Below are 25,618 nucleotides of genomic sequence, written 5' to 3'. Positions count from 1 at the left end.
GCGTCTCTCAGACATGATCTGATGTCATATAGGACCCACCTCAGATAATCTGGGATGATGCCCTCATCAAGGTCTCTAATTCAATCACATCTGCAGGGCCCCTTTTCCAAATATGGTAACATTTACAGGTTCCAAGGAGTAGGATGTGGGTATCTTTGGGGAGGGATGGGTATCATTCAGCCTACCACATGCAGCAATAAATAACTAAAACAAGAGGTTTGAAAGAATAAGCCACAATACAGAGAAAAAAGTGAAGAACATGTTAGTTCTGATCACTCTTGCCACCTCTGGTCACACCAGATCATAAGTCCTCTTTTCAGCTGGTACTAGGTTAATTTGTGTCTCTGCCTATTGAAATATGTCCTCATGGCCGGGTGTGGTGGCTCACGCCTGTAATCTCAGCACTTTGGGAAGCCAAGGTCGGTGGATCACGAGGTCAGGAGATTGAGACTGTCCTGGCTAACACGGTGAAACCCCGTCTCTATTAAAAATACCAAAAAAAAAAAAAATTAGCCAGGCATGGCAGCATGCACCTGTAGTCCCAGCTACTTGGGAGGCTGAGGCAGGAGAGTGGCATGAACCCGGGAGGCGGAGCTTGCAGTGAGCCAAGATCACGCCACCGCACTCCACCTGGGCAACAGAGCAAGACTCTGTCTCAAAAAAAAAAAAAAAAAAAAAGAAATATGTCCTCATACAAAAATAAACATCAATTCTAAAAAAAAAATCAATTCTAATGGTAGCTGAAGTTTCACATATTTGTACTATTTATGTTTTATTCCAACTAGGCTGTATACTCCTTGGTGGTGGGCTATTTTTTTATGCATAGTTTGTCCACCATGGCATGGTAAATCTGGCAGATATTCAGTAGATAGTTGTTTGTGTGAAGGGATACCATGATATACTGGCCTAAGAGCCAGGCTCTGCAATAAAACAAAATGTGAAAAACAGCTAAGTTCACTTGTGGGAAGAATCAACTTACTTGTGTCAAAAAGTCTGCTTTAAAAAAAAAAAAGTTTCAATCAAATGTCTACATATGACCACAATGACCACAGATAGTCAAACTAAATTATTCAAATTTTGTGGAAATACCTGAATGTGTTTAGTATTTAGCTCTGTCCTGAGCCCTTTAGGCTTCCTGTTTTGGGCTAAATTATATCCCCCTGCAATATTCATATGTTGGAGTTCTAACCCCCAGGACCTCAGAATTTAATTGTATTTGGAGACTGGACCTTTAAAGAGGTCCATTCAGTTTCAATGAGGTCACAAGGATGCATCCTATTCCAATATGACTGGTGTCCTTATAAAAAGAGATTAAGGCACCAATGCATACAGAGGGAAGACTGTGTGAAGACACAAGGAGAAAATAGCTGTCTACAAGCCAAAGAGACAGGCCTCAGAAGAGACCAACCCTACTGACAACTTGACATAGAATTCCAATCTCCAGAGCAGTGAGACAATAAGTTTCTATTGTTTAAGCCACACAGTCAGTAGTACTTTGCCATGGCAGTCCAAGCAGACTAAGACATCCTTCCTGTTAAGGATAAATCAACCATTTGCACCAAATGCATAGTTTGGACCTAAAATTGTTGTAATGGGAAGGTACATGTCAATTTGGGGGTTTGCATCTCATCATTAGCACATCCTTTTCATTTCTATTGAGTTGTTTGTTTGTTTGTTTGTTTTTGTTTTTGAGACAGGGTCTTGCTCTGTACCCAGGCAGGAGTGCAGTGCAGTGGCACAATCATAGCTCACTGCAGCCTCGGCCTCCCAAGCTAAAACAGTGTTCCCACCTCCACCTTCCGAGTAGCTGGGAACACAAGTGCATGACATTGTGCTTGGCTAATTGTTTTTGTCATTTTTTTGTAGAGATGGGACCTCACAGTGTTGCCGAGGCTGGTCTCAAACTCCTGGGCTCAAGCAATTCTCCTGCCTTAGCCTTTCAAAGTGCTAGGATTACAGGTGTGAGGCTCCAGATGATCGAAGTCACTGCCTCATCCTGTCTGACCACCTTCTATGGAGCAGCTGAGGTCTTAGGGCCAAGACCTACCTGGAATCCCAGGCAGCCTCCTAGCCACTCTAAGAGGGCAGAAGAAGCAGAAAACCTATGAGAGCAGCTTCAAAATCAGTCTTCTAAGCGCAAGAGAGACTTCCTGAACCACATTCTGCTTCATCAACCGGACTCTACAACATGAACAGCTTGTGTCTCTTACAGATTCTCATAGGCAGATGCATAAAACGTGAATAAGATGTGTCCACTGTTGGCACAACTTCCTGCTACAGCTCAGCTAGTAGGAAATCATGTACAAGTTTCAACTAAGAACCATTTAGGGAGAGGACATAGAGGAGAGAAAAAAAATTCTTTTGGCTTGGCTTGGTGTTTTGTATTCAGCATCACACCTAACCTTGAAGCTGTCAGAGTTTATCATGAATAATGCACCATGACAACATTCCACGTGATCCTTATAGGACAGACTGATGTCCTCATAGGCAGGGAAGGCAAAGCAGCATGGTCCCATTCCCAGAGAGAAACACACCACGACATGGCAGTTAGGAAGGAATGTTCATGCCACTGTGCTTCTACCTCCAGAGCTGCAGGGGTTCCAAGAAATCCTACCAAGACCTAAGAAAGAGCCAAGCGTGTACCCAGATGCAAAGCCAAGGAGAAAAGGCATCACCGTGAAATCACATTTTATGCTGTGAATGAGAGGGAAGTACATCAGGTGCCAATAAGCTTTCGCATCTGTGCACAAAGCTAAAATCTCAAGTAGGTGGCACTTGACTCACTGCATGCACCCTTAGAACCCATGAAAAATGCCAACACTTAGACCTGCAAACACAAATGGGCAATGCTCAAAGTCACTATTGGCTATGATCTCTACCTTTAACTTACAGAATTGTAAATTCTCCTGTAAACAGGAAGAGAAGCTAAGACAATGCAACCAAACTAAATAAATGACATTTTGTTCATATTCTCTTCCTATGGTATTTTTGTCTTAATGTATAGCCCATCTCCCAATTTTTAAGTTTTTACTTAAAGTAAGAGGAAGCAGATATACAAGCTTATGCTCTTCTGAGAACAATGCTGAAGATTAACACAAGAGCTAATTTCCTAATTAGCATTTGTTTTTTAGATAAAAATAGACTAATTTTTTAGATAAAATTGTGGAAAATTTTCCTGCTACCTCCAAGTGTAGAGCGCTCATCTGTTCCTTTCCTCACTGTCATGTAAATAAGAGCTTCCAGAAGTCAGAAACTTCCTAGCTAAGTTTTGTCCTCAACTGTCTACAAAGCTCAGTCTTCCACAGTGGGACACAAAATGCTCTAGACCCAGTAGGGATGGGAGACAAATTGACAGAGTGGCCAGAGCACACAGCTGGTCCTCCCTCTCAGCAGATTCCGTGACCTCAATTGAAAACCAATGATAGTGACAATTCTTCCCACAGTAATCACGTGATGTAATCAGGCAACGAATGAGAATGTGCCCACCATGGAACAGACCTGCAAAGGGGGTCGTATGCAGCCACCCAGAGAGCAGAGATCTCAAGAAATTTTATTTTTCACAAATGCCGATGTCCAAACATCTCTTCATCTATTGAGGAAATCCCAACATTGTTATGTATACGCACAGTGCTTACACACAAAGTCAACGTTGTTATAATGCACTTTCATGCAGTCAAATTTCTGATGTCCATGGAGTCAGGAAAAAGTCTGTCTCATTTCTCAGAGAGAGACCAGTTTGCCTTCTACATTTGTTTTCTCTGGGCCCTTGACAATTGGATGGTGCCTGCCAACATTAAACACAGATCTTCCCTACCTAGTACACGCAGACTCATACTAATCTCCGCGGAAATACCCTCAAAGAAACACCCAAAATAATGCTTTACCAGGTTTCAAGGTATTCCTTAATCCAATCAAGTTGACACTTAAAATTAAGTCCACAAGTCCACCCCTTGTCAGCTGGGCACCTATATGCATCTTCTTAAACCATACCTAATTTCCAAATAAAGACAATAAAAAGGTAATAGTTCCACCTACCATGATGCAACTAACATGACACAACTGAAAACTCACTAAATCCTTTCCCCACATTTGGTTTTCAGAATTCCAGCATGTGGGATTTTAATCTTTCAGGACTGTGATTTTTCAGGATTGCAGATGTTAGGGATTTTAGACTTTAGGGATTTAGACTTTAGGAATTTGGGGTTTTAGGGATTTAATTTTGGGAGATTTCAACATTCAGGATGATGGCATTCAGGATTGTGTCTTTTGATGTTATGATTGGCACCAGAGCAGCAGCTATCTAATAAAACAAACATATCATAAAAAGAGGAAACATAAAATGCATTTCTTTTACTTGGTTGCACTATCTTAGCTTCTTTTCTTGTTTGCAGGAGAATTTACAATTCTGTAAATTAAGGGCAGAGATCATAGCCAATGGTGACTTTGAGCATTTCCCATTTGTGTTTGCAGGTCTAAGTGTTGGCATTTTTCATAGGTGCTAAGGATGTAGTGAGTCTCATGACACATACTTGAGATTTGTGCTGTTGATTTGGGTTTTAATCAGCAGATTTTGTTAGTATACCAGGACAAGGTGATATAGCAAGCAGATCTCACAGCAAAGGAAGGGAAAGCTCTATAGAGCACAGACAAGAACACTCCAAAGTCCTGGTGTGCAGGCAGGGAGAGAAGTGCCTTGTTCAAGGGAGCTGCAGGTGGAAATTGCACTGGTGGTCATGTTTGCTTTTTTTCTGTGCAGACATTATAAAGTGACAGTTTTGCTGGACCTGTCTCTCTGAGCAGATTTCAATTGCAGTCCACTTTTTAAGTCAGAAAGCAAAATGATACAGGCTGCCAAGAAAAGCATTTATGTTCCATGGGCCCCCAGATGGCATCCACATCCCATTGATTCTGGCAGTCCTGAGGATATAAGAATGGCCGATTCTATTCAATCTTGTTTTCTTCTTTCTAGACTGGAATGAAACGCAGGGAAAAGGAAATCTCTGGGGTTGTGCTGTGTTCAGTCACATCAACGCTTATGTGGCAGGGATTCTGGTTCTAACTGCCAGGCTCCTGGAAGCCACTGAGACACCAAACCCTATGGGAGGTGTAAGGCAGGTTCCCTGTGAAGGAAAGGGGTATCTGGTTGGGTAATTTGCACACCATCAGTGACGAGAAACTGAGGATAGAGAAATCTTGCTCAAGACATAATTCAGACAAAGGGACATTATGGTAATTTAGACAAAAGACTCACCCTAGAGTGTTTTTATGCTTGGCCTCTGCCACCATCATTTTTCTTTCAATGTCTGTCATTGTATATAAATGTTTATTATACTAGAGTTCTGTCATAATGGATATGAGTTGAGACAAAGGATAGAGAAAGTAATATGATGCTGGCTACTTTTACTCCAAAAAGGAAATTCTAAACAAGCAGAGTGAAGCCAGCTGCTCTATATGTCACATTGATATAAGTCACTGAAATGCTGAGTTCCCAAAATTGTGTTCCTTCCTTTTCACAATCTCTCCTTGCTCACATCGGAAGTGGAAGTGAGCATGGTCACTGGTGGACATGGGACACGAGCAGCCAGGGGGATATTATGGAGCACAAACAGGTGCAGGAACAACTAGAACAGTAACCACATAGAAACTTGTTGCCCACGCCCACCTTTTCTCTGCCCCACCCATGTCAGAGCTGGAATCCTTATCTCCAGTACTGACCACAGTTCCTCTCTCTGCAGGACTCTGAGGTCTCAAACTTGCCCCTCACCTGACCATAAGCACGGGATAGGCATTAATGCAATGAATCTAATGAATCCTCTTGGAGAAGGACGCTATGTAAATGCTATTAATGAAAGCCTTATTCTTTTTCTCCCAAGCCCTCCCACCTTATGCAAGAATATAAGGAAATATTAACTTTACTTCCCTAGTGATGGAGAGATGTAATTAGAGCCTGAGAAGGTTTTCCCACAAGGCATTAGTGGGGAAATTTGCCAGCACTTTGATGAGATAAAACATGGAACTCTCTACTCTGTGCCAACTGCTTCTTTCTTTGGAACACAAAGTCATTTTTATGAGTGAAACTAGAAAGAAAGAAAGAGCAAAAGAAAAAAGCAGCAAAAACCAAGGGAGATAAGGTCACCCTCTCATTTCTTCTGGCAAACCTCTCAGATTCCGGCAGACCCCTTCCCCTGAGACAGAACAGGGCTGCACAGCTGCTCCTAACAGAGAAAAAGGAGCAAATTCAAGTAAAAACTATGAAAAAAAACTCAACAATTCTTAAAATGTTTAATAGTTACCCTCAATAAACTATATGAGAGAAGAAATTGTATTCAAATCTTATTTGAACAAATCTCATAACAAATTCACTACCTTTATGTCTTCCAAACTTTCCTAATGACTTAGTGATCAATTTAAAATAATTTACCAATCACTGACAAGTCCAAGTACTGAGCCCTTTTGTGATCCATTTCAAACCATAGTCAGCCGCAAGTCTCCTTTCAAGCCTAACTTTGGGATGGTGGCTCATGGTAACAGTGCCCTTTCTCCCTCTTCTCTTTGCCGGAATCCCCCGTCTGTTGCATCAAACCCATCCTTCAGGACCCATCTAAACTGCCTCCTCCTCCACTACTTTGATTCTTCACCCACCCCAAGATCTCTGGCAGAAGTCATTTGTCCCTTTTTGGGACTGTCTTTGTCTGCCTTTATTTTTTTTTTTTTAATGATTTTTTTTTTTTTTTTTTTTTTTTTGAGATGGAGTCTCGCTCCCACTGTTGCCCGGGCTGGAGTGCAATGGTGCAATCTCTGCTCACTGCAACCTCCGCCTCCCGGGTTCAAGCGATTCTCCTGCCTCAGCCTCCCGAGTAGCTGGGATTACAGGTGCCTGTTACCATGCCCGGCTAATTTTTTGTATTTTTAGTAGAGACGGGGTTTCACTATGTTGGCCAGGCTGGTCTCAAACTCCTGACCTCATGATCCACCCGCCTTGGTCTGTCTGTATTTTAAGGGACATATTATGTATAGCTTTATTATTCTTACTGTGTATTATCCAGTTTCCCCTCCTGGACTGCATACTCCTTGAGATGCAGATCTTGAGGACGGCATTCAGCATGCCTTAAACACGGCGTTGTTGTGATTTCTTATATGCCATTATTACTCTAAGTGTGGCTCACAGGCTCGCAGTATGCGCATCATTTGGGAGATCATTAGAAATGGAGTCTCCCACCCCACCCCAGTCCTACTTAATCAGAATCTGCTTTTTTTTTTTTTTTTTTTTTTTTTTGAGACGGAGTCTCGCTCTGTCGCCCAGGCTGGAGTGCAGTGGCGCCATCTCGGCTCACTGCAAGCTCCGCCCCCTGGGTTCACGCCATTCTCCTGCCTCAGCCTCCCGAGTAGCTGGGACTACAGGCGCCTGCCACCACGCCCGGCTAATTTTGTTTTTGTATTTTTAGTAGAGATGGGGTTTCACTGCGTTAGCCAGGATGGTATCGATCTCCTGACCTCGTGATCCACCCGCCTCGGACTCCCAAAGTGCTGGGATTATAGGCATGAGCCACCGCGCCCAGCCCAGAATCTGCATTTTAATCCATTACCAACCCAGGTTATTCACAGTACATTAAAGTCTGAGAAGTGCTGTTGTATACGATGGATACTTAATAGATATTTTTCACATAAGCCAATTTCTATGCAAAGATCTTTCCCTTCACCCACTCCCACCCCCCATCCTGGGCACTGCAGATGAGCTGAGAACTAAGCCCACCTTCAGGTGGCAAGAGTGCTTTCCCCTCATTCACTCTAGCTTGCCATCCATAGCCTCCATGCATTCAGAGGGCAAGTCATTTATTAATTAATTCCCTCACACCACATTTACTGAGGGCCTGCCTCCTATATGCCAGGCATTGTGCATATTCCACAAGAACATTTACCTCTCAACACACTGAATCGGGTCTGTGGGATTGGGAAGAAGACAAGGGGAGTGGCATGTAAATCGTGTGTCCTGTGCCTACCAGGATGCTTGTCTGCTGCACAGATTTCTGGTGGATCAGGAAGGACACAACCCATAGACTCAACCCCTCTTCCAGGGCTTGGCTGGCTGCTGCCCCCCAGGCCTAGTGCTCACTAGCATAAACTCTGCACCAGTGTTTTCTCAAGCCTCAGGACACACCCCAGTCACCAGGAAGGCTTGGGAAAACACAGAATGCTGAGCCCACCCTGAAACTTCTGATGTAGTAAGTAGTGAGGTACCAACAGGAACAGAAAAAGGCAGAAACACTAAAGAAGATGCCTGTATTCTTTGAGCTTCCCTGATGAGGTGTATCCTCTCAAACCCCATTCCCTTAGGTGTTGCGGAATGTTTGGAGAAAAGATTAAAGAAGTGAGGTCTCCATTTAATGAAGCCATTGAGAGAACCAAGTCTAGAAAGTTCACCAGGTCCTAAGCAGGAGCAGGGGACAAACTAGGGCCTGATTGGCCTACTTTTTCACTGCATTGTAAGCTTTATGTGTTACAGTGTCATTAAAGGTAGAGAGTCCAGGACTCAATTCATGGTAATAAAAATAAATCTGTGCAATAGTGGGCAGCTTCAAAACTAGCTGTAATTATCTCTCATAGATGAAATCCAGCAGGTGAGCCCTGGCCCAGGAATAGCTCATTTTCTCCCTGCCTACAGCTGTGCCCGGGCTGAAGCCACTGACGCTGGGCTTGAGGGGTGCCTTCCCCTGCCTCCGACTTGCCTCCTCTCTCAGGCAACTCATCCTCCACCCAGTGTTATTATGAAATCAAGTGGCCTGTAGAAGGAGGACTGGGAGAATGTCAAGAGTCCCTCCTCTGTCTCCAGTCCTTTCTCCCTTCCTCCCATGCCCCGTGACTTTCTAAACCCAACTGCAATGGATAGGTAATGAGAACATGCAACAGCATTTCCTAGAACAGGATTTTCTACCTCCTTTTGGAAATCACTTATCTTATTCCCATAGTGCCCTAATTCCAACAGTCTATGACACATACAATGAGAATGTCACATGGGCTAAATGCTGAAGACCCATGCCTTAAAGCTAACCAGCTTCCAGAAGAATCCTTAAACCTACATTCCATTTCCATACCAATCCTGGGTGTCCTAACTTGCTCAATAGCAGGAGTATCTATCAAGTTAGTAGGTGCCTAGGGGAATCTACATGTCATTTTCAGCCCTTTCTCTTTCCCACACCCAGCAGAAATGGGTGTGAGATCTTGCAATGAGCATCTAAAGTTTTCAGGATTGTTCCCAGGACAACCATACCTGAAAGCTTTCCTTTGACTCAGTCTACCCTGTGCCCATTCAACCCCCATGTCAGCCCTCATCTGCTTGCAGCCCAACTTCTATTTTGGTGCCTCATTTTAATTGGTTTTTTTGTTTTTTTGTTTGTTTGTTTTCCTGGCCTCAGATCAGTCCCTCTATCTCTGGTCTAATGTTGTAACTTCTTTTTCTCTTGGGTATTTTAGGCCATGTATGTGGAAATTTGATGCATGTGACCCCCTTTGGCACAGTCTGACATTTCTCAAATTCACCTCATTTCCTATCTCTGGTTCTGGAAATTATGAAGTCAGAGAGCCCCATGAAGGCTTAAGTTTACTGGCATCACAAGGGCAGATACCATGTCTGTCTTACTTTCCTATTGTCTCCCATATTCCCTAGCATATCATAGGTGTCAGACGAATATTTTTTATGAACAAGTGGATTATAGATACATCACACCATGGGCAGACAGGTGGCAAGCTAATATAATTTTTATTGTGTGAGTATGCTAAGTGTTTCTGGACAATTGATAAGGTTATATTTATAACCCAAAGGATTAATGTTCATGAAGTACTTTGAAATCTACAAAACAATAATGCTGTAAAAGAGTCAACTATTCCCTGGTAGAGATGATCAGAGGAACAGATTGTACAATTCTTTTGGGATTCAAAAGGTAGATATGAGTAAAGATGGAAAGAAAATTGGGACATGATGACAAAACAATCAATAAACAAATTAAAACTCACCTTTATCATAATCATCATTCTCAACTGCATCTTCCTGAAGTTTCTGAAGTTTTAATCTTAAGGATATTACCTATGTTGGTTTAAAGGGGAAAAAATAAAAAATTACAATAGAATTCAAGCAAACATTTTTGTGAAAACTAAGAACATTTAGAAACTGTTTCAAAACTGAACTTCTTCATTCTCTTTTTAAAAAAAAAACAAAAATGCACATTTTTTCAATGCCAGATGCATTAGTTTCTCCAAAAAAAATCTATGTAAAGAAAAAGTGTAATTTGAGCATAACATCCACATAAAAAGTTAAAATGTTATTTTATTTTAAACAAAAACATCACACTGTGCCCTCATCTGCATGAAGAAATGCATAATGAGAAGGAATACAAATTTCCTGACCAAATGGTCTCTGTTCTAAACCTCACATTTAAATTATGAAGGTAAACACACCAAAATTGGCAGAGAAACCAAGAGAAAAAGAGCATGAACTTAAGCTCAGCAGGCTGTCCTGAAGGCTTGAGTAAGAATGATGGCAAAGCTCTCACAAAACCCTTCTGAGAAGCCCTAAGGTTCAAATATTTTCCATTACAGAAAAGGGCAGTCTTATTTAACCCACATGGAGACTCAGTGATCCAGTTACTTCTCTGAGTGTTACCAATGGGTTGATTTAGCATCATTGATATGGTTTGGCTGTGTCCCCACCCAAATCTCATCTTGAATTGTAGCTCCCATAATTCCCGCATGTCGTGGGAGGTAATTGAATCATGGGGGTGGGTCTTTCCCATGCTGTTCTCATGATAATGAATATGTCTCATGAGATCTGATGGTTTTATAAAAGGGAGTTCCCCTGCACAAGCGCCCTCTTGCCTGCCACTGTGTAAGATGTGCCTTTCTCCTCCTTTGCCTTCCACCATGATTGTGAGGCTTCCCCAGCCATGTAGAACTGTGAGTCCGTTAAACCTCTTTTTCTTTATAAATTACCCAGACTTGGGTACGTCTTTATTAGCAGCATGAGAACTGACTAATACAATCATTGTTCTTCTCAACAGGAGACCCAAAGATTTACTGACAATGAATTCTTGGCCTACCAATGAATGGATTTGGGCTTGATCCCTGAAAAACATCTTCCTCCCATTCTTTGCCTGGCTCACACCTACATTTCCTTCAACCCCTAGCACAAGTGTCGTCTCCTCCAGTCTGTGTTAAATGTCCCTCCTCTATACCTCCATTGTGACCTGTACTTGCTTCTTCTATTCATAGACCCATTCAACAAATATTTACTGAGTGCCTCTTAGTTATCAGGCCCTGTTTGTATTGTGTTGATGTAACAAGGATACATCATAAAATGCTTAGCCCTCCAGACTTACATTCTAGGCAAAAACATAATACAGTCGGCCCTTGAACAACGGGGATTATGGGAACCAACCCCGGCCCTATACAGTTGAAAATCTGTGTATAACTTTTGACTTCCCCAAAACTTAACTACTAATAGTCTACTGTTGACCAGAGACCTTACCAAAAACATAAACAGTTGATTAACACATATTTTGTTTGTTATATGTATTATATATGCATTCTTACAATAAAAGTAAAGTGGAAAAAAGAAAATGTTATTTAAAAATCATTGAGAAAAAAATTCAGCATTGACTAGATGACGAAAAACATCATAAAAAACAGAAAATAAATTTCCTATTCATTAAGTGAAAGTGGATCATCTTCATCTTGAGTAGGCTGAGGAGGAGGAGGAAGAGAGGTTGTTCTTGCTGTCTCAGAGGTGGCAGAGGTGGAAGAGAATCTGCATATAAGTGACCCTTGCAGCTCAAACCCGTGTTGTTCAAGGGTCAACTGTAAGTTTTATGGCACCTTAGCAAGTGATTAATGCTATGAAAAAGGAAAAGGGAGAACCACGTTATGGGGATCAGGGATGCTGGTAGAGGGTAGAGGTTGCAATTTGAAATCTGATCTCCTTGAGATGGTGACATTTACACAAAGATTTAAAAGTGGTAAGGGAGTGAACCACGAGGCTGTCTGGGAGAAAAATATTCCCACAGAGGGAAGAGCCAGTACAAAGGCTCAGGCAGAAGTGTTTCTGGTAAGAAAGCAAGAAGTGAAAGTGAAATGAAAAGCAAGAGGGAGCAAGAATGCCACTGGATCTGGGGCAGATTGATGTAAGGGAAAACTGTAGAGAATGAGGTCACACAGGTAATGAGGACTGTGTCAAGAAGAGACATGAAGACCATTTAAAAGTTCTGATTTTACTCTGAAGTTCATGGGGCGCCACTGGAGAGTTTGGGGCAGAGGAGCACATGATCTGACTTATGTTTTAAACAGTTTCACTCTGGCTGCTGTTAGTAAGAGCAGAAGAAGGGAGGCCAGGTAAGAGGCTATGGGAACATTCAGGAAGGAGATGACAGGAGCTTGGATGATAGTGAGGATGGTGGCAATGGTGAAGATGGTGAGATGTGATCTGATTCCGGTTATATTCAGAAGACCGCTGGTTAAATATAGAGCCAACAGGATTTGCTAATACATCACAGGTGGGGTCTGAGGAAAATGCACCAGGATGATGCCAAGGTTTGTTTTGTTTTTTGTTTTTTGGGTTTTTTTTTCTGACCCACTGGAAGAATGGAGTACTTATTGCACCAGGTTATAGCCATCATTTTCCTTTGTTTGGTTTTATCTGTGCACATCATTCAACCTTGAGCATCTGGGGGGCAAGAACTATTTTGCATCCATGTATAGGATGCTAGTACTTACACTGACTTGATTTTCCACTGCTTTGGGCACATGGAAAGAGTACAAGTGCCTCTCTCCTTGTTCTGCTGAACAGGGTATGAGTGGCAGTGATGGGGTTACCTCTACGCTGAAGCATTTGATCGCTCTTGTAGGACTCCCTAACATTCTCTTCCTCAAGTCTGTGACTAAGGGGATCATATGTTCAGATGGTGCAGGCTGGGTTCTTGCCCCCCAAAAATCTCTGTGGAACATGAAGCATACGCAAAAAACACAATTTTGTTGTGTTGAGCCTCTAACGTAGTGCCTGTTACTAGCCTGTCCTAATACAATCTCCAAAGCCTAGGATAAGGCATTGTACTCGTTGTCATTGATAAATGCTTTCTGAATGAATGAAAGAATGAATGAATAATCATATTAACCCCTTTGTCTTTGAATTGTTCTATATTACAACTGCAAAGTTTACCAGTAACTTAGTCCTATATATTAGGGACAGAAGAAAGGCTGTGTGAATGGTTTGAGGGCCACATAAAGCTATAGCATTACCATCGCCACACCCAAATGATGGTATCATTAAACATTTATTAGAACAGAAGCTGAAGAAATGCAGGAAACAAGGTCAGGAAAAAAATTCATTTACAGCCAAAGCCCACCCCACGATGCCCACCTCGTCCAGTGATCTCTATAAGGCCCTGAATGGACTGCCCTGAGATATGTCTGAATACCCGTCTTTGCTGGAGGCACAGCCCCAGTGGCCATGTCTTGCACTGTGCCACAACCCTGCCTGTGGAACGTCCTATAATACTCTACAGGCAGAGTCCTTCATTTTTCACCAGTTTCCATGGCCTTAGGTGGAGCCTACCTTGCAGGGCCCACTCCACTTCCCCTCCTCTGCATGCCTGGTCACCAACTACCTTTATTACCATCTTCTCAGTCCCATGCAACCCCTGGAAATCTCGCTAAGCAGCGATTTCTAAACAGCATAAAATATTCACAGTCGATTCTCCTTATTCACAGTACTGTAGTTATGTTCTATAAAGTTTCTGTGAATACTGAATTAGGGAATAATGAAGCATTGCTCCTAAGAGAAATACAGGGTAGGTTCCTGTGAACCCCTGGTCACAACACCTTCCTCCATCGGTCAACACATGACCTTGTTCTATGTGTGTTTCTGTTTAAAAACATCTTATTTAATATGTATTATTGATCCATAAGCATTGTACTCTGGCCAACAGCACTCTAACTCATGCCTGAATAAAGTTTCTGGAGCACCTGTATCTTCTCCATCAGGCCCATCACAGCCTTCTCATGCTTAGGAGCACTAGATGACATTAGCACTATGCTTAGGGAGCTTTTGCAATGGTTAACTCACCAATAAAGAGCACAAAAATGTAAAAAAAGATGGCATTAAATAGACCACAAAAAGGATACTAGTTTGTAGTATGAGAGAGAAGGTAGAATGTCATCTGGTCTGAACTTGTTTGACCTAAGTAGAAAGCGTGTACATCAGGTGACCCAAATATTTTGCCACTCTGTGCAGGTTCAAAATTACCACCAGGCATGGTGGCTCATGCCTGTAATCCCAGTACCTTGGAGGCTGAGGCAGGAGGATCATTTGAGGCCAAGAGTTCAAGACCAGTTTGGGCAACGTGGCAAGACCCTCATCTCTACCCAAAAAAAAAAAAAAAAAAAAATTAGCCAGGCATGGTGGCATGCGCCTGTAGTCCCAGCCACTAGGGAGGCTGAGGCAAGAGAATCGCTTGAGCCCAGGAGTTCAAGGTTGCAGTGAGTTATGATCACACCACTGCACCCCAGCCTGGAAGACAGAGACCCCGTCTCTTAAAAAATAAAATAAAAATGAAAAATGACCATAAAAGTGCTGTGAGTACTGATTTTGGAGTTAACAACAAATTTTAGCAAGTAGACGAATTCACACATATAGAATCCACAAACACTGAGGATCAACCATCTTTTAGAAGAAGCTGAAACTTAAATTCCTGAGATTCTCATTTTTACTTAAGTAGAAGCGAGAGGAGGTTAAGGAATTAAAATATAATATCAATAAGGCCCCCAAACACTAGAAATCCTACTCTTTCAAAGGATCTTTTTGGAGATCCTTCACCGACCTTCTGCCCTGTCCCGAAGGCCTCAGCCGCAACCCCAGTGAGCAGTCTGGGGCCTCTGTGTAAGCACCATGGGAAAACAAGTCCCTGACCAGCCCACCTCATCACAGACAATTCCCACTGTCAAGAGGTTCTTCCTCCTATTGAGGCAAACTCTGCCTTCCTGTAAGTCCTATGCCCTGGACTGTGTTATTTCTGTCATTCCCACTACTCTGTTAATTCCGCTGTCACACAACAGATACTCAAGTACAGCCTAGCGTTACTTAATGACAGGGATGCATTCTGAGAAATGCATTATTAGGTGACTTCATCATTGTGTGAACATCGTAGAGTGTGCTTACACAAATCTGGATGGTGTAGCCCATTACACACCTAGGCTAGATGGAATAGTCTATTGCTCCTTGGCTACAAACCTGTGCAGCATGTGACTGTACTGAATACTGCAGACAAGTGTCACACAATGGTAAGGTATTGTTGTATCTAAACATATCTGAACATAGAAAGGGTACAACAAAAACACAGTACGATAATCTCACAGGACCACTGTCACATCATATATGTGATCCGTCATTGGCCAAAATGTCATTATGCAGTACATGAGTGTAATTGAAGAGAGTGTCATGTTTTTCCCTGCCCAGCTGTGGGACTGCCATAGACAACAATACTTACACTAAAGAAAAAGTGTGTCCAGATTCTACCATTTGAGATAAGATAGGAATTTAATTTGAGCTATGGACAGAAGGGAGAGCTTCATTTGCTTTTGACTCAAACTCTCTAAATTGGAGCTATTTCTCTAATGATGACAATGGTTAATTTCTGGGTACTTGCTAGATGCCAGGCCCTGTCTGAAGCACTTTGCACATATGATCACATTTAGTTTAATTAACTGGAGAAGAGAAACACCGCAGGAAGGTAGACCCTCTTGCAAAACCCAGGTGAAAGATAACAAGGATCTGAGCCAGGGCAGCGGCCATGGTGATGAGAGACAGATTAGCAGTAGGACTGAGAGGGCTTGGAGGCCAGCCAGATGTGGAACAAGGGAGAGGGAGGTGTGGAAGATGGTTGTGGTTTCTGGCCTAAGAAACTGGATAGATTCTATGCATTCAAATCAACCAATATTGGAGGCCCTTCAGAACGGGTTTCGGGGAAAGACAAGGGGCACTGGTTTAGGCAATGACTAACTGGAAGACTCCACACATCACCCAGAATACAAGCCTGCATCTGTGCTCTGACCTCACTCCCTCTCTGCATAATAAATCAGAGGGCTGGGCTGAGGTCCCTGAGGGCTGAAACAGGGCAAACAGGGACAGGGCTAGAAACATCAGACTATAGATAAAGAACAGATGGGAGATGCTCTTTCGGGGAATGAGCATGAACTTCTGCAGATTACTCCTCCCAAATGCCTGATGAGTGGGTGCTCCACTTCCCTACCCACATGAACATATCCACACACCACACGCAGAAACACATGAGTGCACACACACAAATACACTCGCACATGCATGCACACACACACATGAACACACAGCACAAACATGCACACACACACACGCACACACAGGCACACCTACATGCACACACATACACACACAAACACATATGCACACACACACCAGGATTAAAATACAGTCTGGCAACAGATGAGCCACAGAGCATCTCTACCTGGGCTTCTCTGGGAACTTTTGTGGGTAGAGGAACCCTACCTACTTCCGGCTATACCCACCTCTCAGATAACTGGATGGACAGCATCATCATAAGGCTGGGCCTTAGATGTCTCCAGTTTGTACTTATTTCCAAAGCAGCTACATTCTCATTTGAGCCTTAGAACAATCCTATGAGTTGGTGTTATCTCTAAATACGGAAACTGAGAGCCAAAGAGGTTCAATGACCAGAAGCGAAGTCTCCCGACCCTGTGGAAGGCAGCAGCCACTGCAGCAGGATGGAAGGGAATGAGTGAAGCGGATGAAGAGCAGGATCGCCCTGATAGAGGGCATCCCCATTTTTGTATCTCTCAAGTCCTTCCAAACATCACCCAGCTCAATCTCCCCTGCCCCCAGTTTCCTGTCTCAAAGCAGAGCTGGGCTGCATGAACCACGTCTCACCTAAGCCGGGGCCTGCAGAGGAGCCTGCGGCCCAATGGAGAGCAAATCTGAGCACCTAAGTGACAGAGAAGACAAAAAGGAGAGTAGATCTGTGTCCAATTCAAAGAGACAGAAGTGCAGCAACATCCTGTGCAGCCGGCTCCAAAAGGAGCTGCTGCAGCTTCCAGGAGGAAGTCAGTTGAGCCCAGAACCCCTCGTTTCCTGCCGTCTGCCCAGTGCTAATCTGAGCTCACGACAATCTCGGGCCACAGAGGTGGAAGAGACACTGACCTCCATCTGCCTCCGGTTTCTCAGCAGGCAGTCCCGCAGCACTGGCTCCCATTTCCTGAGCAGGGTGTCCCAAGAGTGGGCATCCCCTGAGCCGCTGCTCCCATCACCACCACAGCCAGCCAGTGAGGGATCCAGAGAACTGGAGGAGCCAGGGTCCATGTCTGGTAAAGAATGCATGTCACGCTCTGGCCTGGAGCTGTTCCTTGCGGCCTGGGCCAAGTCTGCAGAGACCCGTGTAGCCAAGAGACTGAAGGGCCGAGAGAGACATCGCGGGTCCTCGTGAGGCCCGTCCAAGCTGGCAGCTTTGGCTCCCATCTCCTGGGGGCTCTGGCAATGGGACTCAGCCTCTCTGGATGGTGGGCAGCCTTCTGCTTCTCCACGTTCCCCGGCAGAGCCAAGCGAGAGCCGAATAAAGCTAAAGCTTGAGGTAAAGGCACTGTGAGAGCCAGGAGGGGTTGGGGGGACCTCAGGGCCACAGCCAGGGCTGCAGCTGTTGCTACTCAACTCTGCTGATGGCAGAGAGCCTGCTGCCCGGACACGCCTTGCTCCATCGCTGCAGGCTGCCTCCCAGCTGGCGTCCAGGGTCTCAGAACTATCCATGGCTGCAAACTCTTGCTGCCACCCAGCACTCCCAGGGCCACACGGCCAGCTAAGCCTGTCAGGCAATCTGGTGCCACCTCTGAGCTGAATCCCAAAGTGCGCCGAGGTTCCTCTCACAGAGGTCACAGTAGGGGCTGCTGCACTCTTGGAAACAGGGCTCCGGACCAAGAGGCCTCTCGAGTCAAGGCCACACTGTCTGGCCCTGGACTCCGAGTGGTGGGACTCCTCGCCAGACACCCCTCCTGGGAACCGGAACAGTGTGCCCACTGCTGGGGAAAGGAACCCGATCCCAGGCCCTGTCGAGCTTCTCATGTAGCCCGGCCTCCGTGCCAGCCGCCGCCTCCGAAAGCACGCTGCAGGTGGTAAGCAATCCCGGCTGCCTGGGAAGAAAAGAAAAAACAGCACCATAAACATGCAGATCTTACTGGCCCAGCTGGAACTGCATCTGGAGAACATCCCTAGGTTTAAAGGTCATCTCTCAGTACACCTGTCAAAGATAGATGCTGGCTCAGTGGTCCCAGGGCCAATCCATTATGTAAATCCTGACAATCCTCAGGAAGTATTTGCCTGGAACATGTAGAAATCAACACAGCATCTCAGCTCCTCGGTTTAGCAGAGCAGCTGGCACTGCTGTACGCTATGCCAACAGGTCAGCATGAACACAACCTTGGCAGCTCCTGAACCCTCCAACATCTTGCCTGTTGGTCTTTTATGGCACCTCAGTACTCTCATCCTGGAGTGGGCCTGGAAAGCAAATGACGTGAAAGAGGAATGCCAGAGCATGCCTCTAAATGAGATCCAACTATTTACTCTAGCTATTCGTTGAACATGTGAATGTTCACTAGCGGAGCTATCCATGTCCCTGCAAGACTGATCTGTTGCTGCAGACCATGGATAGCTGGCTGTGCCGCAATGTATGGCCATCATCTCATCTCACTCAGTGGATGACAGGAGGCCTGCTTGATGTGTTCTCCAAACCAGCATTGCATTCCCTTCCCAGCTATGCTATAGGAATAGGAACAATAACAAATGCTGACTCCTCATTGACTGGTTCAAACCCTGATTGTACCACTTGCTGGTTGTGTGACCTTCCACAAGTTACTTAACCTCTCTGTGCCTCAGTTTCCCCATCAGTAAAGTGGTGATATTAACAGTAGCTCTCTCATAAGGTGGTTGTGAGCATTCAACTAAATGAGTTACTATTTGTAGACAGCTTAGAACAGTGCCTGGCACATATGATGATAAGAGTGATTAAAATGTTATTATTTTTAGATTGCATAGCACTTTGCTACTCATAATGTGTTTTAATTTACATTAATTTCATTCACTCCCGACCAAAACCATGTGAATCAATCCGACCCGAAACTATAGCTTTCCTTTTATATTAAAGGCAACTGAGATTCAGAGAACTTGACTTTCCAGAACCCCCTGCAAGTAGCCAAGTGACCAGGACAAAGTCTCTTGACTCTACTGGCCCACACAGAGCTCTCATCTCAGGACCCTGCCACATTGCAAATCAGGCATGAAAGTAAAACTAGGCAGCACTAGGCACAGCTGTAATCATACCATGGCCTATGGCGAGAAATGGAACAAACTTCACTCCAGGCCCACACATCCTGCTTTGCTTCCCAGAACAGACATGGGCTTGGAATCTTTGTCCTGTTAAGCCGAGATCACTAGGCATTAAGGATCCCACTGAGCTACGATCATGGCACATGCCATCTCCTAAAAGGGGTGGGGGTGGCATTGATAATCTCTGGGGAAATGAGCACAATGACCTCTAGCCCCCTATTTCCTGACTTGAGCATCTGAAGATAACAGAGCCCAAGACTTGCTCACACAGTGACTTGCTCTTGCCAATTGCGGGGAGCTCCAAAAGGGCTATTGCTGCCCGGGGTACAAAGAATTCCGGAAGCTTGCAAGGAAGGGAGGAATGGAAGCAGGGACCATGAGGTGGTGGTGGAAGAAGTCAGAGTAAAGAAAGGAAGGGAGGCATTTAACACTATAACCCTAGGAGATCGGTACTATTCCCATTTTACCAATAATACAGCTAAAGCTCAGAAAGCCTTACTTTGCCCCAGAACTCCCGGATCATGGTTTCCCAAAGCCCGGATTTGAACTGAGGCTTGTCTCGTTCCAAAGTGCATGCCCTTTCAATTCCCTTTGCCTACAAGTATATCAGCGTAAAATGCGTAAAATGACAGGAAGGCAGAAGAAACATTTCATTTTTTTCTTTCTTTCTTCAAGACAGAGGCCATGCAAGTTGAAGCCAGTAGAAAAGGATGTGATGAGATGTACAGAAGGAATCCGTCATCCGAGGATGTGAGGCTCCCTGCAGTGTCCGGGCCCGACCGGCAGGGGCAGCAGTCGGAACAGGGTGGCCAGGCGTTAGGAGGGGGCAGAGAGAGGCCCTCAGGCACACGCACTACTCATACCCCCTTGCAAAGCAGGCAAAACGTTCTCCAGAGAGCAAAGAATCCGAAAAGAAGTTAGAGAAAACACTGAATTCTGGCTTCAATTACCAAAGGAAAACAATTCAACAATTTCGTATCTTGAAAAATGAGTCCAGTGAAACCTATACTGTCTGTGGTTTAAAAAGACTTTTAACTATTTTTTGTATGTAAATACCAGTCATCCAGATAACCCTTCTGAAGTTAAAAGAAAAAGGCTAGGTAGAAAATAATTTGTTTGAAATTTCATTTCTTTTCCAAGGCCTGAGGGCACTTCAGCCTGAATAGCCTTTTCTTTTTTTCTTTATTCTTTCTGTTTTTTTTTTGAGACAGTCTCGCTCCTGTTGCCCAGGCTGGAGTGCAGTGGCACAATCTCACCCCACTGCAACCTCCACCTCCCAGGTTCAAGTGATTCTCCTGCCTCAGCCTCCCAAGTAGCTGGGATTGCGGGTGCCTGCCACCACGCCCAGCTAATTTTTGTATTTTTAGTAGAGAGGGGGTTTCACCATATTGGCCAGGCTGGTCTCGAACTCCTGATCTCAGGTGATCCCCCCGCCTAGGCCTCTCAAAGTGCTGGCATTACAGTTGTGAGCCACAGCCACCGCGCCCAGCCCCTGAGTAGCCTTTTCTAAAACCACTCAACCAAAGGTCCTGAAATCCTGCAAGCCAGGTTCCAGTTGCAGCACAGTGAGGTTACCCACTGTGAACCCTTGTTTCTACCGGGGCCCTGGGAAGCTGTGATGAGCCGGGGACCAGAAGCAACAAGCCCAGGAGGGCAAACATAAGAGAGGTGTTTACCAAAAGTGGGAATGAGATATGGGAACCACCTGGCTTCTGCACCCTGCTGAGGGCTCATGAAAACCATCCCCTGGCCACTGGCCTTCCCAGAAGGTGGCCTGAATAGCAAAGACTGTCACACACTATGAATCCTAACCCTCAGAGGGCAGAGGGCAGATCCGGAGGGCACTGCTGGAATCTGCTAGAAGAATTCCAGGAAACCCATATAAGGCAAGAATGAAATCTGTAGGAAAAACTCCCAGTTTCCCATAACGAAAGGCCATTTTTTCTCACTATTTTTTTCCTCTTTTTTATTTTTTGAGGAAACTTATGACATCCCCTGTGACCAGAATCAATTCTCACTTACATATCCAAGTCGTGCCATCACACCTTGCAGTTCAATAAGGATTAGGATGCATTCAGACCTTGAAGACAAATACTCCTTTCCTAGCACATAAGTGCAATCAGCTCCGGAAGGAGGTTCAAAAGGGCAGGAAGCAACATATGGCAAGGTGAAGAAAAAGCCCAAAGTGCAGGCAGGTTTTGAGACCCGGTTAGGAAACAAGCCGTGCCCTCTGTGCTCTGTGAAACCCAGAGATGCCTCGTTCCACCCATCTAGTCCAGGAACGAACGACTGAGCAGGGAAAGGGAGCCTGGCGCAGCTTTCTCTGCTGCTCGAGGACTCTTGTTCCGCAACAGATCAATTCTAGAGGGAAGCGCTGATGCCTTACTTCCTCTCTGAAGCACAGACCTGCTTGCCCTGGTAATATATGACCCCCATCTCCACCTTATTGAGCCCAACAAGCTCTGATTGGAGGGAAGTGAAAGCAGCTTAGAACAGACCCAGATGTCAATGGGTCTCTATACACAGTCCAAATAGGATGCCTGGAAATATATGTTTACCTAGCTTAGAAGGAAAATTGCGGCAAGCCAATATTAACCAGCCGGATCAGCAAGAATCCTGTCAGCCCTCCCTCTTATGTTCTCCCTTCATCTATCCAAATCCTTCTCAGCCTTCAGCTTCCAATCCCTCCCCCATCAGCTCCCTTCTCCTGATCACCCAGTCAACAGGGCTTCACCAATTGTCCATATCACTCATTCCCTCCATCACTCATTCCCCCCTAAGTATTGTTAACACCCAGCACTGTTAATTATTTTCTGTGGTGGATATGAATTGTTTCCAGTTTATACTACACAGAAGTTTCCTGAGGTCCTTATAATTCCTAAAACAATCCTAGTTTACAGTATATCAGAGAAGAAATTAAAATACACATTGGCCAGACAATATTCATTTTTAAATATGAAATCTTAAACATGCAGTTTAAGAAAACATGATACTCAGTTTTTTTCCTGGAGCAGTGGCTCATGCCTGTAATCCCAGCACTTTGGGAGGCGGAGGTGGGTGGATCACTTGAGGTCAGGAGTTCAAGACCAGCCTGGGCAACATGGCGAGGCCCCATCTCTACTAAAAATACAAAAATTAGCCTGGCGTGGTGGTGCACACCTGTAATCCCAGCTACTCGGGAGGCTGAGGCAGGAGAATCACTGGAACCTGGGAGACGGAGGTTGCAGTGAGCCGAGACCACACCACTGCACTCCAGTCTGGGTGACAGAGCAAGACTCTTGTCTCAAAAAAACAACAAAAAAAAAAGACACGTGGGCTTGGGCAGGTCACTTGGCTGCCCCGTACCCCAATAATTCTAAGGTCTCCTGAAGGGAAAATGCTGGGACCTCGAGAATGCTGCAGGGAATGCACCAAATAGCAAGAGAAGAACACGACTTTACAAAACATGACTTGCATATAAATTTATAGTGGAAGCATAAAGGAATATATTCTTTTCAGGGAAGGAATTTTAATCCCATCTGTCATGGTTGGGGTGTAAGATCTTAATACATTCAGGCTAACCAAATATTCAGAACCATAAAGAAACAATATATCCCTCTGGATTAATTTGTTTCCAAAGAATCAGAATCCAGTAATAGGCACTAAGCACAAACACTCTACTGAGCCAAAGTCCATCTTCCTTCAATAATTCAGAGAGCACTTAAGTCTTCTGAAGTGCCTTCAGGTCACTGTAATAAGCATCCAGTGAGCAAGGCAAGCTGGGGGTGGAATAAATCAACCTGTATTCTATTTCCAATTTAATCATGTAATCCATTTCCATAAAACAATTCCTTATTGAACACTAGATGATACATGGGGTACAGACATAAACAAGACACCATCCCTGCCCTCAAACTGCTTATGCTTTAGGAAGGGATGTCAGTCAGGCATATAAAAACTGTTACAGGAATTGAATGTACTCTTTCAATCATGGAGGAAGGAGAATTCAATTTGAAATTAAACTAATGGAGGAACCTGGTTAGCTCAGTTGGTTAATGGTTCTAAGGCCTCCCATGAGCTCCAAGTTATGTGCCACCCCATAAAACCACCTCATCGGATTAAAGGGAAGAAGGGTGCTGCATTTGGTGAAAAAGAAGTGAGGGCCGTCACAAACACATCTTTAATTTCTACCAGAAACAAAAGGTTTTTTGCCCTTTGAGAAAATGAATGCCACAAGTCAGTCCCGATGCAGACGCATTTTGTGAGTTAGTCAGTTTGAACTCAGAAGCACTAAGGAAGGACAGGGTTACATCCAGAGGCCTGATCCCACAGCTCTCCTATTAATAAGGTGGCACAGAAATACTAGAAATAGAGTAGCAAACCCACACGCCATTGTCCATGTTTGCAAACACAACACACACACACACACATTTGTACATACTCATACAAGCACCAGGGTAAGGAACAAAGAGAAGGTTCTAGAACTGACATAGAAGAGGAATTATCACACTCTTCTCTCTTTATTCCCAGAAATGTCAACAAAGACATACAAGTGTAAAATCTAATTAATCCTTACTTTGCTAACTGACCATTTCTGACATTTTAGAATGTATGTGGTTTTGGAATTGACCTCCCCTACCATTTCCTGAGGCTTCCATTGAATTTTCCCTATGATTTTTTTTTTTACTTTTCTTTAATTGTGGTAACATATACGTAACATAAAATTACCATTTTTACCGTGTTTCAATGTATCATTCAGTGGCATTAAGTACATTCACATTGTTGTACAATCATCACCATCATGCACCTGAAGAACTGTTTCACCTTCCCAAACTGAAACATGGTACCCATTGAATATTAACTCCCCATTTCCCCCTGCCCCAGTCCCTGGTAACCACCATTCTATTTTTATCTAGATTTATTCATTATTAATTCAACAACCTGGGCCTAAGCTTGGCCTAAAATTGGAAGTCCAACAGAAAGTGCATTTTCAACACCACCATCCATGTGCATGAAGGAACACTGTTGGGGGAGCACACATGCGTGATATAAAAATAATACAAATCTTATACGGTTTGGCTGTGTCCCCACCCAAATCTCATCTTGAATTGTACTCCTATAATTCCCATGTTGTGTGGGAGGGGACCTAGTGGGACATCAATGGAATGATGGGGGCAATTTCCCCCATACTGTTCTCATGGTAGTGAGTAAGTCTCATGAGATCTGATGGGTTTATCAAGGGCTTCTGCTTTTGCTTCTTCCTCATTTTCTCTTGCTGCCACCATGTAAGAAGTGTCTTTCACCTCCCGCCATGATTCTGAGGCCTCCCCAGCCATGTGGAACTGTAAGTCCAATTAAACCTCTTTTTCTTCCCAGTCTCAGGTATGTCATTATCAGCAGCATAAAAATGGACTAATACAGTAAATTGGTACCAGTAGAGTGGGGCATTCCTGAAAAGATACCCAAAAATGTGGAAGCAACTTTGGAACTGGGTAATAGGCAGAGGCTGGAACAGTCTGGAGGGCTCAGAAGAAGACAGGAAAATGTGAGAAAGTTTGGAACTCCCTAGAGACTTGTTGAATGGCTTTGACCAAAAGCCTGATAGTGATAGGAACAATAAGGTCCAGGCTGAGGTGGTCTCAGATGGAGATGAGGAACTTGTTGGGAACTGGAGCAAAGGTGACTCTTGTTATGTTTTAGCAAAGAGATGGGCAGCATTTTGCCCCTGCCCTAGAGATTTGTGGAACTTTGAACTTGAGAGGGATGATTTAGGGTATCTGGCGGAAGAAATTTCCAAGCAGCAAAGCCTTCAAGAGGTGACATGGGTGCTGTTAAAGGCATTCAGATATATAAGGGAAGCAGAACATAAAAGTTCAGAAAATTTGCAGCATAACAATGTGACAGAAAAGAAAAACCCATTTTCTGAGGAGAAATTCAAGCCAGCTGCAGGAATTTGCATAAGTAACAACAAGCCAAATGTTAAGCCCCAGGACAATGGGGAAGACATCTCCTCGGCATGTCAAAGGTCTTCACAACAGCCCCTCCCATCACAGGCCTGGAGGCCCAGGAGGAAAAAAAGGTTTTGTGGGCCGGGCCCAGGGTCCCCATGCTGTGTGCATGGGGACTTAGTACCCTGTGTCCCAGCTGCTCCAGCCATGGCTGAAAGGGGCCAACATAGAGCTCGGGCCGTGGCTTCAGAGGGTCCAAGCCCTAAGCCTTGGCAGCTTCCACTTGGTG

At 44.4% G+C, this 25,618-nt stretch overlaps 1 protein-coding gene and 1 long non-coding RNA gene across 31 annotated transcripts in view, besides 1 other annotated feature; both read right to left on the bottom strand.

Annotated features, from left to right (window-relative positions):
• TSNAX-DISC1 (TSNAX-DISC1 readthrough (NMD candidate)) overlaps positions 1–25,618 on the bottom strand; it is a 512,620-nt gene that overhangs the window by 329,237 nt on the left and 157,765 nt on the right. For 6 of the 8 annotated variants that reach the window (NR_028393.1, NR_028394.1, NR_028395.1 and 3 more), the window contains 2 exons: positions 17,231–18,210; positions 10,012–10,081 (listed from right to left, as the gene is read on the bottom strand). This is a non-coding gene — a long non-coding RNA (TSNAX-DISC1 readthrough (NMD candidate)). Of the gene's footprint in view, positions 1–9,474; positions 10,082–17,230; positions 18,211–25,618 lie in introns of those variants that run through there. The other 2 variants (NR_028399.1, NR_028400.1) reach the window with 2 other exon arrangements.
• DISC1 (DISC1 scaffold protein) overlaps positions 1–25,618 on the bottom strand; it is a 414,483-nt gene that overhangs the window by 329,237 nt on the left and 59,628 nt on the right. For 19 of the 23 annotated variants that reach the window (NM_001164537.2, NM_018662.3, NM_001012957.2 and 16 more), the window contains exons 2-3: positions 17,231–18,210; positions 10,012–10,081 (exon numbers count right to left, since the gene is read on the bottom strand). The exons of 1 other annotated variant lie outside the window; for it this stretch is intronic. In NM_001164537.2, coding sequence (NP_001158009.1) covers positions 10,012–10,081; positions 17,231–18,210 — 1,050 coding nt within the window. Of the gene's footprint in view, positions 1–9,374; positions 10,082–17,230; positions 18,211–25,618 lie in introns of those variants that run through there. 3 more of the 23 variants (NM_001164555.2, NM_001012958.2, NM_001164554.2) reach the window with 2 other exon arrangements.
• Positions 17,380–17,562: a silencer, noted in NCBI's record as "fragment chr1:231830220-231830402 (GRCh37/hg19 assembly coordinates)". NCBI's record gives its function as "represses an EF-1alpha promoter that drives an FKBP-Casp9 reporter gene in an ReSE screen in K562 erythroleukemia cells {active_cell/tissue: K562}" and the evidence as "EXISTENCE:reporter gene assay evidence [ECO:0000049][PMID:32094911]".

Source organism: Homo sapiens, chromosome 1 (genome assembly GCF_000001405.40).
Source record: "Homo sapiens chromosome 1, GRCh38.p14 Primary Assembly".
Lineage (NCBI taxonomy): Eukaryota > Metazoa > Chordata > Mammalia > Primates > Hominidae > Homo > Homo sapiens.
Note: the sequence above shows the minus strand (reverse complement) of the source record. Positions and strands in the feature narration are given on the sequence as shown.